Below are 19795 nucleotides of genomic sequence, written 5' to 3'. Positions count from 1 at the left end.
ACCTATGGAGTGGTTTGGAGCCTCAAGGTGGTAGGGTAGAGCCAACAGAACAGGCAGTCAACTCCATCATACAAGCAGCATATGGTGGACATCTGTGCCCACATCCTTGCTATGGAAACAGACAGGAGCCACCTGGTGTTACTCAACCCAGCAGACTTAGCCATCTGCTAGCCAGTGACCTTGCACACACTGGCTCTGAGCCTCACTTTTCTCTTAAAATAAGAATTATCAAGACATCTTTGGGTGGCCATATGTGTGAATCAAGATACTGGGGCCTGGTGTGTGGTAGGTGCCTGGTAGATGCTCAGCAAATGTTAACTGCTAAAACAAGGACTGTAACATCTGCACTAATGGTAGACCTGCCACCAGGCACAGCATGCTCCTGGCCACATCAGGGCTGGTTCTGAGACTGCGTGAGTGCAGAACTGGAAGGCAGGGCCATCCTGAACAGAGGGTGGCCAGTCAGACACCCTGAGGACTCCCAAGATAGACTCACTCACCCACTGCAAGGAAGAGAAGGAGGCCAGATGTCTGTCCCTGTGATGCCAGCTGTGGCCATTGCCCTCCTTTCTTTGAGTCTCAGAGCACTGTGTTAATACGTTTTACTTGGGACTGATACTTCAAGCAACTCTTGTGCAGGGTAAGGAACCAAAGTATAGATAGTACCTTTCTACAAATCACAAAGATGCCCCTTCCTCTGGGCTAAGCCAGCCTCACACCAGACCCCATAGCTTGTCCAATAGAGCACCTGGTGGCCTGAATGAAGTGCCCACACACCTCAGCCAGCCACACCAGAGGCCGGGCCCAAAGTGACCCTCATCCAGGGGCCCTGAGAATGCATGCCTCACATTATCAGTTGGGATCTTTCATAAAGCCCTTGGAATATCAGAGGAGACTGAAATTCGAAACTAAAACTTGACCAGAAGAGCAAGATGCTGTGGGCATGAGCCAAGCTTCCCAGTGGCCTGCCCTGTGCAGCCCTGTGTCCCCACTCAGTGTGGAGCGCCGGCTCTCTCCCAAACCCTGTCCTGGCTGCTAGCCCAGATGGGAATGGGACAGGCCCTGCCCACCATGCCTTGAACCTAGAGTGAGTACAGACATCCTTGGACACCTGTCTTGCCCTCTCTGATTCTCCAATACCAGCTGGGTGTCCAACAGTTCAATTCAATTCAATTCATTTCAATTCTGACATTAGCTCTCCAGAGCTAGTGCAGACCACACTGGTTAGGGCTCCGTCCCACAAGACCTCCCCGACTTCAGATGAAAATGGGTGCCCAGGCCATCCACACTCCGTCCTACTTGGCTATGCATTAATAGATTCCTGCAACCCCTCCTCAGGTTTGATAATTCACTAGAATGACTCACAAAACTCAGGAAAACACTACTGACATTTGCAGGTTAATGACAAAGAACACAACTCAGGACAGCCTGCTGCAGGAAATGCGTAGGGCCAGGGAAGAGGGAGGGGCATGGAGCTTCCATGCACTCTTCATGCACAACCCGCTCCCAGAACCTCCATGTGTTCACCAACCCGGAAGCTCCCTGAACCCCATCATTTAGGGGTTTTTATGGAGGCTTCGTTACGTGGGCATGATTAATCAAATCATTGGTCATTGGTGATTGGACTCAATCTCCAGTTCCTCTCTCCTTCCTGGAGGTCAAGGATAGGGCTGAAACTTGTAACCCTCTAATCACATGGCTGGTTCACCCCCATGCCCAGCCAGTTCCCACTCTCCCACAGTCACCTCCTTAACCTTGCCTCAGGTGCCTTTGAAAGGGGCTTTCTCTGAATAACCAAAAATGCTCCCCTCACTTCTGTTACTCAGGAAATTCCCAGGGTTTTAGGAGCTCATGCCTGGTACAAATATCAAATATCTAGTTCCCATCGTACCACACCCTCCACATGAGTGTCCTGGGGACAGGCGGCTCTGTCTCCTGCGAGGGCACATTCCACAGGGCTGGATATTGGGCTTCATGCAGAGTTTGTTATTAGCAAATGCACATGGAGGGAAAGGGTTGAATATCTGCCAGGATATTCAGGAAGTTCCGAATGTGCCATGGGTCTGGAACAGTGGCCAGAGCTTCAATTCTGAAGGCAAATGCTTAACAAATATCAATGTAGCACCTCCTAGCAGCCACCATTAACAGCTTACTGGATTTCAGCACCATCTAGAAGCTCCATCTGTTTTTCACAAGTTTTCACAAAGACACTGAGGGGTAGATGTCCTTGGTCCTGATGAGGTCCCCAAGATTAAGACCCTGGGGACATCAGAATTCACAATTCACACTCAGCATGTTTCTTGACAACACCTCTCCAGTTTCCATGCCGGGCTCCTGGTCTGGAATCAGGACAAGAAAAAGACAAAATCAAGAAAGCCCCCTGGGTGAGTCTCTCTTATAATTGGCTCTGATTTAGGGGTGGGATAGGGTTAGTGTAAGAAACCAGCATAATATCAAGGCTTCAAATAGTATGCTAGTATCCACGCTGCTGGGCCAAAAATGGGGTTGATGGGACCACATGTCTCTCATGGAGACTTTTACAGTCAGTCTACCAAAGAAGGGACATGGCTGCTTTTGAGAACTGGATGTTGATTTGCCCAGGTCTCTCTTGGGACTAGATATGCTGGTGGTGAGCTGAGCATTTGGGGAAGCACTTTCTGTTCTAGGTGACAATGGTGTCATAGGGCTAAGTCCTGTGCACATATAAACACACTCCTTTGCTAGGGTCCTGGGATGGCTGGGTTTGGATATGTGTGGAGCAGAGATCATCCCTGGAAGCATGGAAGCTGAGGCACATTCAGATCTTCCCTCCTCTGAGTTTGACCTGACCCAGAAGGAAAGCCCAGCAAAGCAGGTGTGTGTGTGTGTGTGTGTGTGTGTGTGTGTGTGTGTGTGTGTGTACACGTTGCAGGGAGGCCCTTCCTTTGCAAAAAGGGGCAATGTGAGCACGGTCTGGTCTAGCTCCTGCTAGAATCAGACATCCTTAAACAGAAGAAAAGTGTTTCAGGGTGAAAATGCAAAATAACGGCACTGGAAGGCATGGCTCTTCACTTGAGTGTATTGCAAATATCAAGCACATGTTTTTAAAGCTGGTCATGAACTGCAACGCAGCATAATGGGGCAGCCTTATGCATGATTAGGGTGGAAGTCCTAGAGCACCTTACAGACCTGAATTCAAATCATCACCCCTCCCAAACTCTCTGTGGGACTCCAGCCCCTCAGCTAGACAAGGGGGTCACGATCACATCTAACTCTGAGAGCTGTTTGAGCTAAGATACTTATAAGAGTTCCCTGGCACACAGTCTCTGTTCCATAAATGTGATTTGATAAACAACATAAATATTCATCCCTGCTGTTAAGGGATGAGTCAAGGGAAGGGAGCTCATGATCTGGGACTTCCTCTATGACCTCACTATGAGGTAGGTATTGTTGTCCCTATTTTCCATATGAGGAAGCAGAGGCTCAGAGAAGACAAGAGACTGGCCCAAGTTCATGGAGCCAGTGAACTGGCAGTGAAGGATTTACACTCAGGTCTCTTGGGCCCCAAAATCTAAGTACTGCACACGACTCTGCAGACCTCCATGGAGTGACTCTTTCTAAAAAGCTTTATGCCAACAGACACCAGAGGAGGAAGGTGGTCACCAGGCATCACTGTCCACCTTACATAGGTCTGCCGTCTGCTCTTCCCTCGTCTCTGTAGCTTGGGTTTCCCTATCTAGAGGATCACCATGATTTTCAGAGAAGCTATAACTGTTGTTAGGACTGGAACTTGCCCTTAGGGTTGGAATGTGGTGGAATCACTTCACTCTTACTGAGCTGATCTCCAACCTGTGCTGCTTTCCTCGTGGCATGAGAACTTATCTTTCTTGGAGTTGGCTCAAAATAATAGCTGTCTTCTGGTTAACCCAATCATGTTCTCTTACACCTGAAATATGACATGGAAGTTATCTAATCCAATGCCTGCAATTTCCAAAAGAGAAAACAGATGTATTGAAGGAAAGGGACTTGGGCTGGATGGGGTGCAAAACATTGGGATGGAGCTTAAATGGGGCCCAAAACATTGGGATGGGAGACCAGGAGTGTAAAGCCTACATATTCCCAGAAAATGACCTGAACAGGTTCTCTCTCTTTCTCTCTCTTTCTCTCTTCTTTTGGAGACAGAGTCTCGCTCTGTTGCCCAGGCTAAAGTGCAGTGATGCAATCTTGGCTCATGGCACCTCTGCCTCCCAAGTTCAAGCAATTCTCCTGCCTTAGCCTCCTGAGTAGCTGGGATTACAAGCACACCCACCGCGTCCAGCTAGTTTTTTTGTATTTTTAGCAGAGACAGGGTTTCACCATGTTGGTCAGAGTAGTCTCAAACTCCTGACCTCAGGTGATCTGCACTGCCTCAGCCTCCCAATGTGCTGGGATTACAGGCATGAGCCACTGCGCCCGGCCTAGGCCCTCTCTTTTGATGATCTCAACAATCCTTGCCAGATGGTGTTCGTATCCCCATTTTAAAGAAGAGAAAAAAAGAGACATGGACAGATTAACTGATTCATCAAGGGTCAAGCCAAGCTCATCAGTGGCCAAGCAGGCATGGGAAGCCAAGTGTGACTGCAGAGGCTGATTCAAGAAGAGTAACTAAAAAATACACTCACCCAGCCCGATTTTAAGGAATTTAGTTTCACACGGCGAACAAAGTAATTTCAAGCACTGGTAATTTCAGGAAGTCATATTTTGTCACCAATTTGAATTTCTCTTGAGAGGAAATGTGAGAACTAATGAGTCACAGTGACCCCCTGTGCCAATTGCTATTTCAGGATGTGCTCCCCAAAACATTCTCACTGCAGCAGCTTCCATGCCAACCCCAGACCTGCCCTGGAGATCGGACATGGGCTCCTCTTAACCAGGAGCTTGGTGAGGGGTCCAGGGTTCTTTAGCATCCAGGTCACCCTTTTACTTCAAAGGGCTTTGAGGGATAGAGGTGTTGCCTGACCTGGACAATCTGGGTGCCTGATGTACTGCCTGTCCTGCAGCCCACATTGTTGCATTTGGAGAGAAGTGATCACTCAGTTTTCATGGCCACTTCCAATCCAACCTTCAACTGAGGCACCATTGCAAGTATGCCCTAGATGACAATCATTCACTCAACAGATAACTAAGTGGATGTGGATTAAAGCCCCTGGAGACACAGAGCCATAAGAAGGATGAAATCTTTTCTCGACAAAGACAGTAAGAAAGCTAAAATACACAGAGCTAGAATCAAAACTGTGACCACGCAGCCCTCCCTCACATTGCCAGTCAGACCCAGGCTGCCCTGACCAGTGCTGGCTGACCAGCTGGGCAGCAGAGAACAGTGGGCACTTCCTAGGTCACTTGAACCAGGGACTGTCAGCCTTCAACCATGGCAGGCTGGTTAAAGGCAGGAGGATAATGCCAAGCTCCTCACTGGAGAACAAGATAGGACTGTCTCCAGAGCTGATGGCTATGTCCGCAGGCTGGCAGTCCCTGGCATGGGTCACAGAGGCACATTTTGAAAGTAGCCACCCTAGGACCAGAGGCTTTTGATCTTTTAAAGAACTGAAAAATTAACTAGGTTGTATTATTGACCAGAGTAAAATATTCTGAGAATAAGCATTGAGTATGGGGAGGCAGGGAGCTGTGTCTGCCCAGTGGGTGATGAGGAGCCTGCCTGCATGTTTCCCTCTCCCACTACTTTAGTGGCTCTTAAGAGCAGGAGACCTGCTTCTCCAGTTATCTGTTTAATAACCAGTGTAAAGGCAGCCATATGCCTATATTTGGTAGAGGGCCAAATGGGTAACAAGTATCATGCTACACACTTTAAATTCTTGATCTCATTTAATCTCCAAAACACCCCTTGCAGGTGACTATTACTACCCTCATTTTATAGCTGTGGTAACAGAGGCACAAAGAGATAAAGTGGCTAGTCTGATCCACTCAGCCAGTATATGATGGTCAGATTTTGATCCCAGGGCTGTCTAATTCCAAAACCCAAGTTCCAAACACAAAGAAATGGTAAGTGTTTGAGGTGATGAATATGCTAATTACCCTGATTTGATCATGAAACATTGTATACATGTATTGAAATATCACACTGTACCCCATAAACATATACAGTTACTGTACCCCATAAACATATATAGTTATGTGTTAATTAAAAATAATAATAAAAGCAAAAAGAGGGTGCTCAACCTCATTAGTAATCAAGAAAATGCAAATTTAAAAACTCAAACCCAACCAAACAAAAGAAGATGTAATCCCCAAGGCAACCACTAAGAAAATAACCCAAAAATATACAGTAAAAGAAAAAAAGGTCTTAAAAGGGTATGACAGAAAATGTCTTTTTATCACAACAGAAGGCAGTAGTTGAGGAACAAAAAAAGATACATCACACATAGAAAACAAGTAGCAAAATAACAAAAGTAAGTCCTTCCTTAACAGCAGTTACATTAAATGCAAATGGACTAAACTCTCCAATTTAAAGGCAGAGACAAGCAAGATGGATTTTTAAAAAGCCACATGATCCAACAATATGCTGTCTAGGAAGACTTTAGATTCAAAGACACAAATAGGTTGAATGTGATAGAAAAAAATACTCCATGAAAAGAATAACCAAAGGAGAGGAGGAGGGGCTACACTAAAATCAAACAAAAGAGACTTTAGGACAGAAATTATTACAAAAGAGAAAGAAGGATAATATATATTAGTAAAAGCATTAATCTTTCAAGAAGATATAACAATATAAACATATATTCACCTAGCTAGAGCACCAAAGTCCATGAAGCAAAACCAGAAAGACTTAGAGAGAAATAAATGGTGCAACAATAATAACTGGAAATTTCAGTATCTCAATTCCAATAACAGAATAACTAGACGAAAGACCAGCAATGAAATAAGACTTCAACAACATTATAAATCAACTAAACCTTTTTTCTACAGGCACCACTCCATGCCCCAACATGCCCTGAGTTTGAAGGCTGAGGCCACCCAGGGTCAAATGTAATATCTAGGGATGAATAGATTTTAGATGGAGGATACTAGGATAAACAATAGTGTGATTTATACTTTTAACAAATCTGGCATATCTAAATCCTCCACCATTTGGAGTACACAATAGTTACCATTTACTTAAATTATTTTCTGAATAAGAATCCAACTTAAAGTATTCAGTGTGTAATTGAATAAATATTATAATATGAATTGCATAGGAAGCTGAGTAAATAAGATTATAAATGATCTGAAAAGTATTATTATCAAAATGACAGAGATGACAACATGTTTACATGAGGCAAGTTTAAACCAACCAAAATAAATGAGGCAAAAATGTAAAAATAAGGACAACTTCTTGCAAAAAATAAAGAAATATAAAGCTGTAATGGAGATGTACATGCCTTTAAAAAGATAACTTACTAAAAATGCAAGTATAATGTACTTTCATATACAATGAAAGAGTCTAAGACAAAGGTATGTAGGAATAGCCTGGATGGCCATGCAAAGGCAATCATGTATTGGGCTTTCTGGAAAGAGCAGTCATCAGTTGCGAGTAACACACCAAGCTTGCTAGAGTGCTCTGCACATCCTGCTCTTCACCTCTTGATGTGGGCCTCCCACTTTTGTGAAGTGACAGTGAAGGCCATGGTGTTTGTAACTGGCAGCCTGAACTCCTCCCTCTGAGGAAGGTGAAGCAGCAAGGCCTTGGAGCCTGGGCTTCAAGTCCCAGTGCACTGGTGAATTTGGCCAGAGTGGGGAGACGTCTTGTCATGGATGTTGAAATTAATGTGAAACTCCAACCTAAATGTCTTTGTCTATGGGCAGAGGGGTGGCTCCCTACTCTGCACCCTATGTACTTTGTTCACTACCTCTGTGAGAGAACTAACATTTCCTCTCTCCACCCACAGCCTATGGGCCAGTTCATCTCCCCATGCTGGATTTCAGCTTATACCCCAGCATGGCTCCTGAGCAGTACAAGGTGGTATAGTCAGAGCTTTGGGAGGCTGGGAACTGAGCAGAAGAGCTGGATAGTTTAGGCAAGGAATGATCAAGGCCCCAACTGAAGCAAAGTGGAAATGATTTCCATGGCCAGTTGAAAACAACCCTGTGGCATTGCACAGTGGGAATCCATGAAGATAAAGAGCCAGAAGATATGAGTGTGACTCCTGGCTCCGTCACTCTTGATCTGAGTGACTCGAGAAAGTCCCTTAACATCTCTGAGCCTGCTTCTCCATCCAACCAATGGATAAGATAATGTATGCCCTACCTATCTGAGATGGGAAGACAGTGTATGAAAAACACTTAAGAAACTGTCCAACTTTAAAAAAAAAAACATGTACAAGTGTGTGTACAAACATACAGCTCCGTGGCTCAGGATGAGCAAGAATCAACTGTGCTCCAACCCAATAAACTCTGTGAGGAACTGTATTGATTCATTCTTTCCCAAGACTTTGGCCCAGAAAGCTGTATTTTCATAGCTTGAAGTAAATCTATTTTCTTACTGATCAAAGGTAATACACTAAAGTGTATCACACATTAGAATAGTTTGCTCGTTAGCTTTCCAGGTTGTTTGCAAATCAAATTATTTGGTGTTCTTTTGTTTTTGAGGTATTTGAGTTCCTTGTATATAATGGATATTAATCCCTTGTCAGATACATAGTTTGCAAATATTTTTTCCACTCTGCAGCTTGTCTATTCATTCTTTGGGTTGTTTCCTTCGCTTTGCAGAAGTTTTTTAGTCTGATGTAATCTTATTTGTCTATTTTTTCTTCTGCTGCCTTTGTGTTTGAGGTCTTCTTCATAAAATCTTTGCTCAGACCAATGTCCTGAAGCATTTTCCCGATGTTTTCTTTTGGTAGTTTTATAATTTTAGGTCTTACATTTAAGTCTTTAATCCATTTTGTGTTGATTTTAGTATACAGTATGAGAGAAGTCTAGTTTCATTTATCTGCACATAGATCACATAGATATCCAGTGTCCCCCAACATCATTTATTGAAGACAGTGTCCTTCCCCCAATGTATGCTCTTGTGCCTTTGTCAAAAATCAGTTGGCTGTAAATCTGTGGATTTATTTCTGTGCTCTCTATTCTCTGCCATTGGTCTATGTGTTTGTTTTTATGCCAGTATCATGCTCTTTGGTTTCCAACACTTTGAGTTTATTTTTAAGTTCAGTAGTGTGATGCCTCCAGCTTTATTCTTCATGCTCAGTATTCCTTTGACTACTTGGGGTCTTTTGTAATTCCATACAATTTTGGGCTCATTTTTTCCATTTCTATGAAGAATGTCATTGGTATTTTACAGAGATTTCACTGAATCTGCAGAGAGTTTTTGGTAAGATTGTCATTTTCACAATATTAATTATTTCAGTTCATGACTATGTGATGCCTTTCTATTTTTGTGTGTTCTTTTCAATTTATTTCATTAGTGTTTCATAGTTTTCCTTGTAGAGATCTTTCACCACCTTGGTTAAACTTATTCCTGGGTATTTTTTTGTAGTTGTTGTAAACAGGATTGCTTTCTTCATATCTTTTTCCACTAGTTCGTTTTTGGTGTATACAAATGCTATAGGCTTTTGTATGCTGATTTTGTATCTTACAAATTTACTGAATTTGTTTATTAGTTCTAAGAGTTTTTGGTGGGGCTTTTAGGGTCTTCTAGATATAAGATCATGTCATTTGCAAAGAGGAACAATTTGACTTTCTCCTTTGCAACCTGGATGTTCTTTACATCTTTCTCAATTTATTCCTAATTGCTCAGGCTAGGTCTTCCAGTACTATGTTAAATAACAGTGGCGAGAGTGGGCATCCTTGTCTTGTTCCAGATCCTAGAGGAAAAGCTTTCAACTTTTCCCTATTCAATATGATGTAGGCTGTGGTTTGTCATATATGGCCTTCATTGTGTTGAGGTACATTCCTTTTGTACCTAACTTGTTGAGAATTTTTTATCATGAAGGGATGTTGAATTTTATCTAATGTTTTTTATACATCTATTGAGATGATCACATGGATTTTGTGCCTCATTATGTTGATCTAATGTATCAAATTTATTGATTTGCATATGTTGAACCACACTTGCATCCCTGAGATAAATCCCACTTGATCATGGTGAATGATCTTTTTAACATGCTGCTGGATTCGGTTTGCTAGTATTTTGTTGAGAATTTTTGTATCTATTTTCATCAGAGATAGTGACCTGTAGTTTTGTTGTTGTTATTGTGTCCTTATCTGGTTTGGGCATCAGGGTATAGCTAGGCTCATGGAATGAATTTGGGAGAATTCCCTCCTCTTGTATTTTCTGGAATAGTTTAAGAAAAAAATTGTACTATTTCTTCTTTAAATGTTTGGTAGAATTCTGCATTAGGTCCTGGGCTTTTCTTTGATGGGAGACATTTAATTACAGATTCAATTTCATTACTCATAATTGGTCTGTTCACATTTTCCATTTCTTCTCAGTTAAATCTTGGTAGGTTGTATATGTCCAGAAATTTACTTATTTCCATTAGGTTTGAAAATAATTTATTTATTTTCATTTGTTGGTATATAGTTGTACACATTAATCTCTAATGATCATTTGTATTTAGGTGGTTTCAGTTGTAATGTCTCCTCTTTTGTTTCTGATTGTATTTATTTGAGTCTTATTTCTTTTTCTCATACTTGGTCTAGCTAATGGTTTGTCCATTTTGTTTATTTTTTCAAAAAACCAACTTTTCATTTTGTTGATATTTTGTATTTTTGCCTCAGTTGCACTTATTTCTGCTCTGATATTTATTATTTATTTTCTTCTACTAATTTGGGGTTTGGTTTGTTCTTGCTTTTCTAGATTCTTGAGAGGCATTACTAGGTTTATTTGAAATCTTTCTACTTTTTTGATGTAGCATTTTTTGCTATAAACTTTTCTCTCAATATTGTTTTTGCTGTGTCACAAAGATTTTTATATGTTGTACTTCTGTTTTCATTTGTTACAAGAAAGTTTTTTAAATGTCTTTATCAATCCATTGGTTGGTCAAGAGCATGGTGTTTAATTTTCATGTGTTTGTATGATTTTGAAAGCTCCTCTTATAATTGATTTCTAGCTTTATTCTGATGTGATCAGAAAAGATACTTGAAATAATTTCAATTATTTCACATTGTTGAGACTTGTTTTATGTCCTAAAATGTGGTGTATCCTGGACAATATTCCACGTGCTGATGAAAAGAATGTATATTCTGGAGCTTTAGGATGAAGTGTACCGTAAATGTTTGTTAGGTCCATTTGTTCTAAAGTGCAGTTTAAGTTCAATGTCTCTTTGTTAATTTTCTGTCTAAATAATCTGTCTAACACTGAGACTGAAGTATTGAAGTTCACAATTATCATTGTATTTGGGGTCTATCTCTCTCTTTAGCTTTAATAATATTTGCTTTGTATATCTGAGTGGTCCAGTGTTGAGTGCATAGGGGATCATATTTTAATTTAGGACACTCTAGTTTGGACTAATACCAACTTAATATCAATAGTATTACAAAACTTTTTTTCTATATATCTCTGTTCCCCCCTGCCAAATTTATGTTATTACTACCAGTTACATCTGTATACATTGTGGGCCTATTAATGCAGATTTATAATTGTTGTCTTACATAGTTGTCTTTTAAATAACATGAGAAAAGTGAAGTTGCAAAAAAATTAATAATTACGTATTTGCCTATATGGTCATCTTAAGTACTATTTTTAATTTCTTCATGTGAATTTCAGTTACTGTCTAGTGTCTTTTCATTTAGCCTGAAGGACTCACTTTAATAGATCTTGTAGGTTAGGTCTGCTAGCAATTAACTGTCTCAATTTTTGTTTATCTAGAAATGACTTGATTGCTGTTTTACATTTAAAGGATAGTTTTGCCAGATGTTGAATTCAGTTGACAGGTTTTTGTTTCAGCATTTTGAATACATCACTCCACTGCCTCTGGCCTCCCTAGTTTCTGATAAGAAATTAGCTGCTAATCTTACTGAGGATCTTTTGTGTATGACAAGTCATTTATCTGCTTTTGGGATTCTCTCCCTGACGCTGGCTTTTGACAATTTGATTATAATGTGACTTAGTACAGATCTCTGAATTTATTCTATGTGGGATTCATTGAGGTTGTGATATATACAGTCATGTCTTTCATCAAATTTGGAAAGTGGCCATTATTCCTTGAAATATTCTTCTTCTCCTTTTCCTCTTTTCTTTCTTGGACTTCCTCTATGCATATGTAGGCATATCTAGGAGACATTGCAGGTTCAATTCCAGACCATCACAATAAAGTGAATGTCACAAAAAGAAAGCCACATATATGTTTGGTTTCCCGGTGCAAATGGAAGTTATCTTTTCACTATATTGTAGTCCGTTAAGCATAAAATGTATATAATTTAATTTAAAAAGACTTTATTGCCAAAAAATGTTGACACCAAGACGCTAAATGAGCACATACTACTGGAAAATAGGCACTGATAGACTCACTTGACACAGCATTGCCACAGATTTTTAACTTATAAAAAATGCAATATCTGCCAAGTGGAATAAAGTGAAGCACAATAAAGCAGAGCTCAATACAACAGGGTGTTCTTGTACTTGACAATATCCCACAGGCATCTTAGGCTTTGCTCATCTTCTTCATTCTTTTTTTTTTTTTTCTGTTCCTCAGACTGAATAATTTCATTTGACCTTCTTCACATTTACTAATTTTTTCTTCTGCTAGCTCAGATCTGCTCTTGAGTCTCTCTAGTGAATTTTTTATTTCAGTTATTGTACTTTCCCAACTCTTAAATTTCTATTTGGTCTTTTTATATAATTTCTCTGTATCGAAGTTCAGTACTTGATGATACATCATTCTCCCAATTACCTTTAGATCTTTGTACATGGTTTCCTTAAACCTTTAAATATATTTTAAATAGCTGATTTAAAGTCTTTGTCTAGTAAGTCCAATATCTGAGCTCCATTATGGACAGTTCTACTGATTGATTTTTCCCATCAAAAAAATAAGCCATACTTTGTGTAGCTTTGTTTCTGGACAATATTTTTTGTTTCTTTGCATGCTTCATAATTTTTTGTTGAAAACTGGACACTTTGAATTGTATAATATGGCAATTCTGGAAATAAGATTTTCTCTTCTTTCCAGGATCTGTTGTTGCTGCTTGTCATAGTTTCCATCATTTATTTGTTTAATAACTTTTCTGAAATAATTTTTGTGAGTTATGTATTCTTTATCATCTGTGGTCATTGAAGTCTTTGTTCCATTAGCTTAATGGTCAGTTAGCGATTTGACAGAGATTTCTTTAAATACCTGGGGGCAAGGGGTGCTCCCATATTTTTGCTGTGTGGGTGTGTTGAAGCATGCCTTCAAGACTCAGCCCAGAAATTTACAACCGTGTTTTAGCTTTCACTTTCTGCTTGAGCAGAGTCTAGAGGTTGGCCTTAGGTTAGAGTTTCAGGTCTTTTTGGGTCTTTCCTGATCATTCACACAACCTTGGCATGTGTATTTGTATGTTACAGCTTTTCAAAGTCCTTACTCTTCAAAGCATCTTGTTTACCAGCCTTTTCTCCAGAGCTTTAGGTTAGTCTATTTTTTGCTCCAACTATTATCCACCACCTGAGGCAGCAGTGAGTAAAACATTTTCCTCTAAATGTTTTTGACAAAATTCCACAGATATCTGCTTTAGCATTGGAAGAGTTCTGTGTTAGGTGAGATGAAGGCAAGCCTTTGAACCAGCTTTTGGGTAACTACCAAATAGGTCAAAACAAATAATTTTAGCTATTTGCAGATGAAGTCCATTGTGCTTCCTACAGTAATGATACTGTCACCAGGGCTGTCATTTGCAAGACTCTTGCTTATTGGAGAGCTGGAATGGGACTAGGGTAAGTTAAATTGCAACAAACCTTGCTGTTCTTACTGAGACTCAGCTGGGTTTTCCTGATTAAGCATTCCCCTGGCTGATGCAAGCTGTTGGTTAGTTTCTAGATTCCAAAACACTGATTTGTCACTTTTTTGTTGTTGTTGCTGCTGCTGCTACAGGAGACAGAATTTTGAAATGTCTTACTCTGCCATTTTAACTGACACCATTTTCCTCAGCTATTTATTTTAAAAATGAGTGTTCTGTATTATATTTAGCATGCTGAGTATGGGGCTTTTTTCATAAGGGGATTTGGGTAGCATGTAATCCATAATGTTCCTGGAACTGGAATTCACCAGTCATTTTCAATCCACTTCAGTTTGGCACCCTACTCCACTCCTACAATGAATCTATTCTTGTTAAGGTTATAAACAACTCTCCTTTGCCAAATCTGGTAAATACTGTCCTCTTCTCAACTGTCTAACTCTCTCATCAGCATTTGACAGAGTGAGACACTACCTTGTGAAAACACTAAACCTGTTTTGGCTTTTATGATACCATATTCCCCAGGGTTTTCTCCCATCTCTCTGCCCATATTTGATTAGCTCCCTATTTTAGTCCATTTTATGCTGCTATAACAGAATACCACAGACTGAGTAATTTATAGTGAACATAAATGTATTTGGCTTATAGTTCTGGAGGATGGGAAGCCCAAGAGCATGGCACCAGCATCTGGTGAGGGCCTTCATGCTATGTCAGCCCCAGGCGAAGACAGAAGGGCAAGTTAGGGCAAGAGAGAGCATTCAAGAGAACATCAACCCTGCTTTTATAACAATCCAATCTCACAATAATGACATTAATTCGTTCATGAGGGCAATGTCCTTAGGGCCTGATCACCTCTTTAAAGACTCACATCTTAATACCATCAAAATGGCAATTAAATTTCAGCATGAGTTTTGGAGGAGACACTCAAACCATAGCACTTCCTTAAGTAAACTTTCGTCCTCCTTCTAACAATCCTTAGATGTTGGAGGTTCTCATAGTTTGGTCCTGGCCTCTCTATTTTTCTATTCTTTTTTTTTTTTACATTCTTCTCAGTGGTCTATAAAAGTTATATTCCTAGCCAAAACTCTCCTCTAAACAATATAGTCTTACATCCAATTCTCTTCTAAACTTCTCCACTTAGATGTACTTCTGTCATATACCACAAGGGCATGGCACCATGAAGTCTGGCCTAGGTCTAAGAACTACTGGAAACTTGGGTTTGGCTTAAGTTTCCTTCTATCTGGTTCCAATAATGGTCCAGAAATTAAGAAGATCAACTGATACAGTGAATGCTTGGTTTAAGAAATTCAAACCAAGGGTTCTTCAAACGTACCATCTTCCTACTAAACTATAAAGCCCTTGTCTTTTTTTAACTGGGATAGATGAGTACTGAGGGTATTTGGAAACTAGATGCTCATCAGTGACCTCCAAGAAAACAGTTTCTGTCACATGACAGTGGTAGTGGTTACTGAGGCCATATCATGATGATGAGTATAAACTGCTCCATTAAGAAGCATGTGACACACAAGAGAGCCTTAAAAGAAGAGTCACTGAGGCCTCACTAAAGCAAGGCAGCACATGTGCACGAGACTCTCACAAAGGCCAAAGGTGTACACTGAGATGGGAGCTGGATTTTGAAACAGATGAGGACAAAAAAAAGGTTGGGAGAAAAGAAGTGTTGGTCAGAGGTAGGAGGGCATCATCCAGCAGCACCTTCTGGTGAGCTGAGATTACTATCGGTCCTAACCAAAAGTCCAGGGTTTTGAAGGACGACCTGTGGTTTCCAGCCTGAGACATACAGTGATGAGGCTGACAGTATAACTGGGGAGATAGGGAAGGAAATGCCATCAGTGAGAGAATGGAAAAGTGGGGGACTGCACCATCTGTGCCAATTTAAAAGGATTAGGAAGTGAGAGAGGAGAACAGGAATGGGGAACATGGCAGAGAGGCATAATGTGGGCATCAGTTAGAATTCTGTGGGTTGTGAGTCACAGAAAGGAAATCCAAATCAGCTAAAGCCAGAAAAGAGAATTTATTGGAAAAATCCTTTGTAAGCTGGAGGACCAGGTTAGAAAATGGACAGAATGATAGTGGCTACAGAGAGCCTAAAAGCAGGAAGCACAAGTATAGTCTTCTTGCAGGAAGAGCCTGGGGAGGACACCCCTGCAGAGTGCCACCTGTGGAAAAGCCTCATCATCACAGCAGGTGTCATCACTGCCACCAGTGCTGAGAAGTCGACTCTGTCCATCTCTGGGTCACACTCAAGATGAGATTCAAAACCCAGGCAGGGTCATCTGCTCAGCTGAGCCTCAGCCACATGACCACATCCAACTGCCTGCCAGATATAGAGCAGATCCATTCTTGTAGCTTCCGAAGAGGGAGATGGGGAATACCTCCAAAACAGGGAGGGGCTAGACATGGTACAGCCAAAAAACAAATTCCATTCCACTATAACAGATGAGGTGAAGAGGAGGCATAATCTTGAGAGCAGGAAAGACTTGAGGGAGTTTGTCAACTTGGAAAAAAGCACCAATGAGGGAGGGATTAAAGATGCAAAAGGAGGGGAAATGGATAGAAAAGCAGGAGGAAGTTGGCTGGGTGTGGTGGCTCACGCCTGTAATCCTAGCACTTTGGGAGGCCAAGGCAGGCGGATCATGAGGTCAGGAGTTCAAGACCAGCCTGGCCAACATAGTGAAACCCCGTCTCTACTAAAAATACAAAAAGTAGCCGGGTGTGGTGGCACGCACCTGTAGTCCCAGCTACTCAGGAGGCTGAGGCAGAACAATTGCATGGACCCAGGAGGCAGAAGGAAAGTGAAGGGGACGGGAGGGGAGGGGAGGGGAGGGGAGGGGAGGGGAAGGGAAGGGAAGGGAAGGGAAGGGAAGGGAAGGGAAGGGAAGGGAAGAGAAGGGAAGGGAAGGGAAAGGAGCAGGAGGAAGTTACAGGAGGGATCGAGGGTGTGGCATCTGCTCAGAACAGTGGGGCAGGGAAGAATTTGACTGTGGTGAGAGGTGTGAGCAATGAGAGAAGGCACCTGGGAAATTTCCACTCTTTCTATCTGTTCAACAAGCAGCTATTTTCTCAAGGTAGAAGGCTTGATTTTCAATAGTGCAAAGCTGATCAAAATGGTGATTTATCATTTTCTAAAATCTGACTCTTTACCTAAAATCTGACTCTTTACCTAAGTTTCAGGGAAGGGAATCATTTCAGACCTGCTTCCTTGTTGGTACGGTTGGGGAAGGGCAGGGGTTGCCTTTGGAGCCTGGGCAGCTGATGCAGCGACCTCCCCCCTTCTTTTCTAGGAAGGGGGGCAGCTTTTGGGAATCTCAGTGCATCATGTTCCCAGGACCCAGAAACAGGACTGCCATATAGCAAGGACATGTTTCACTCTTTCGTCTCAGCCTCTAACTCCTGTAAGCAGGGACCCTGCCTAGCCCAGGGTGTCACACCTGGTAAGCTAGGGTCCCTCCGAAGCTGCTTTCCAAGGTACCCTGTGAGAACCCAGCACTCACAGGCAGAGCCTGTGCTACTATCAGTCCCACACTCACTCTAATACAAGCTTCCCCTTGTGAGAAACCCACAGACTTTACAGCTGAATAAATTCTTTACCTGAAAGCTGCTCAATTCAATGAGCAGCCCAGATAGTTGTCCAAGTGGATCAAAGAGTCCTAGGTGAGTAGTATTTCCATGAATCCAACATTTACAGAGGCTTAAAATTGAGTCTGCAAGCTCTAAAGCCCAAGTGTGGTAGGCATGGAACTAAGCCGCTCTGAGCCTGCTTCTGAAAAGGACTCACTGCCCAACTGCAGGAGTGAAGTCAGCTGACAGCTGCTAGCTGTTAGCTCTTTTAGGGTGACTCTTAGCTTTACAGCCAACTTCACTCCCTTCTTGGGTGGCTCCAAGCCAATGACTGCACAAGTCCTGGCCACCTCTGCCCAAACCCAGACCCCTCCAGCGGGTCATCTGCTCGGAGCGCCAGTTGGGCTGGCAGCAATACTGTCAGGTATGCAGTGTGCTCTGATACCTTCCTCCCCATCCCTGCTTCCCTCCTTTCCTGAGCAAAATGTTAATCCCTAAAAAAACTCTTACCTCAGCATCTGCCACTGGAACCCAGCTGAGGCACCACTCATTCATCTATTCAGCCCACACTAGGCATCCTCTGACTTAACTGTTGCAAAGTTAAAGGTGATGTGTGACAAGTGCTACAACAGTGGTTGGAACAAAAGGTTATGGTTATGGTGCCTGAGCCAATGCAGTGCCCCTAAGTCACCTTTCCCACAGACCAGGGCTGAATGACTCTAGAAATCATGCCCAAGGATACAGGTTGCAATCCAGGGGCTTTCCAAGCAAAGCCTCTGTGCTCCGGTCTGAACTCTCTTGCTCGGTATGTCTGGGTGGTTTCCTAGTGCCTAATTCTGCGTCTTTGTCCTTCTGTTCAGGATCCCAAGACAACAAAGACCCCAGATAGGTAGAAGTCCAGGCTTTAGACCCCTTCTGGGGTCCTGAGCTGTCAAAGGGAGGGTATGCCATGGACTGCAGGGTGTGGGCAAAACTGAAATGAAAAGCCAAGGCAAGGGGACAGAGATGGTGGAGCCAAAGGGCGGAGACAGACTTTAGGCCCAAGGCAGCAGAGCTGAAGCCAGGAACAGTGGGTGGAGAGAAAGGCCATTCCCTCTATGACAGAGCAGCCTGCAGTGCCCAAGTGCCCAATGGCAGGAAGACCAAGGACAGGCTTACAGTACAAGCAGGGCAAGGCCACCAAAGTGGAGCAAAAGTTCACCTTTGATGAATCCCACAGTTTCCCAATTTAAAAATCTAGGAAGAATTTTTTTAATTCAGCATATGATAGGTTTCGTATATAGATGATATTTAAATTATGGGTGAGGGGGCAGGAAAAACTCGTACTCCTCTAAAGATCTCGCAACAGGCCTTGTAGAAGGTCCCCGTGGCCTTGGGCATGGAAGAAATGGGAAATGTTAAAGGTGCCGAACTCCATACAGCACTGAGTGAGGAGGTGGTGCTGGAACAAGGTCCAGAGGGATGCATCAAAGTTCAAGAGGCAAAAAAGGGCAGGCAGAGTGGAGTGTGTACCCAGTGAGAATGTCGGCTATAGTAATGAAGAGGACCAACTATGAAATGACTCAATACAGTATAAGTTAATTTCTCTTTCTCTCAAGATACTTCCAGGTTGACAGTGAGGGCTTGGCTCCATGCAGTCATTCAGAGCCCCAGACTGCAGGGATTCTACCATATTCTACATGGGAATTCCAAAGTGGTCCCATCCCAATCAACCAGAAAAGGGAAATGAGCTTAGAAGGGTAGCAAGAGAAGGAATCCTGGAAGCCAGGCCTAGAAGTAACCACATCACTTCTGCTCATGTATAATGGCCAGGATGCAGTCACACCTAACTGCAAGGATGCTGGAAATGTAGAACATCTGTGTGTTCCCAGGAAGAAGGGGAGAACAGATTCAGGTGGAGAGCTGGCATCCTCTGCCTAGAACAGGGAGTCTACAGTGACTGGGGCAGACAGAGTGAATGTGGTGGAAATGGGCCAGAGGTGTGCTGACAAATGCTTAACAACCAGCTCTGTAGAAGAAAAACAAAACAAAACAAGACATCTAAGCTCTGATTTACTGCATTTGCTAGTTTTCTTGGTGTAAATACTCCCACAACATTCAATTTCAAACTACCAGCATGATGTCATTGAACATTAGAGTTGAGAAGAGATGCATGGCAGCAACCCAGTATATATTATCCACCATGTAGAAACAATAGATGTCAATTACCTGAAGAATAATAAAATGTAGTAAAATGATTTGGAAATTATGAGTTTTTAGTGCTTGTTACCTTTGTCTTAAATAGTTTATTTAATTATAAGTTTATATACATTAATTTCTAATGATGTTCTTGCTA

General features: G+C 42.1%; 1 protein-coding gene across 18 annotated transcripts in view, besides 1 other annotated feature; it reads left to right on the top strand.

Moving 5' to 3' along the window:
• Positions 1-19795, top strand: part of ARHGAP22 (Rho GTPase activating protein 22) — a 226435-nt gene that overhangs the window by 27672 nt on the left and 178968 nt on the right. The window lies entirely within an intron of this gene.
• Positions 13487-13606: an enhancer, noted in NCBI's record as "active region_3333". NCBI's record gives its function as "activates an Ori minimal core promoter by ATAC-STARR-seq in GM12878 lymphoblastoid cells {active_cell/tissue: GM12878}" and the evidence as "EXISTENCE:reporter gene assay evidence [ECO:0000049][PMID:35858748]".

The sequence above is a fragment of the Homo sapiens genome, chromosome 10 (genome assembly GCF_000001405.40).
Source record: "Homo sapiens chromosome 10, GRCh38.p14 Primary Assembly".
Classification (NCBI taxonomy): Eukaryota; Metazoa; Chordata; class Mammalia; order Primates; family Hominidae; genus Homo; species Homo sapiens.
The sequence above is the reverse complement of the archived record's forward strand: the minus strand, read 5'-3'. Positions and strand labels throughout refer to the sequence as shown.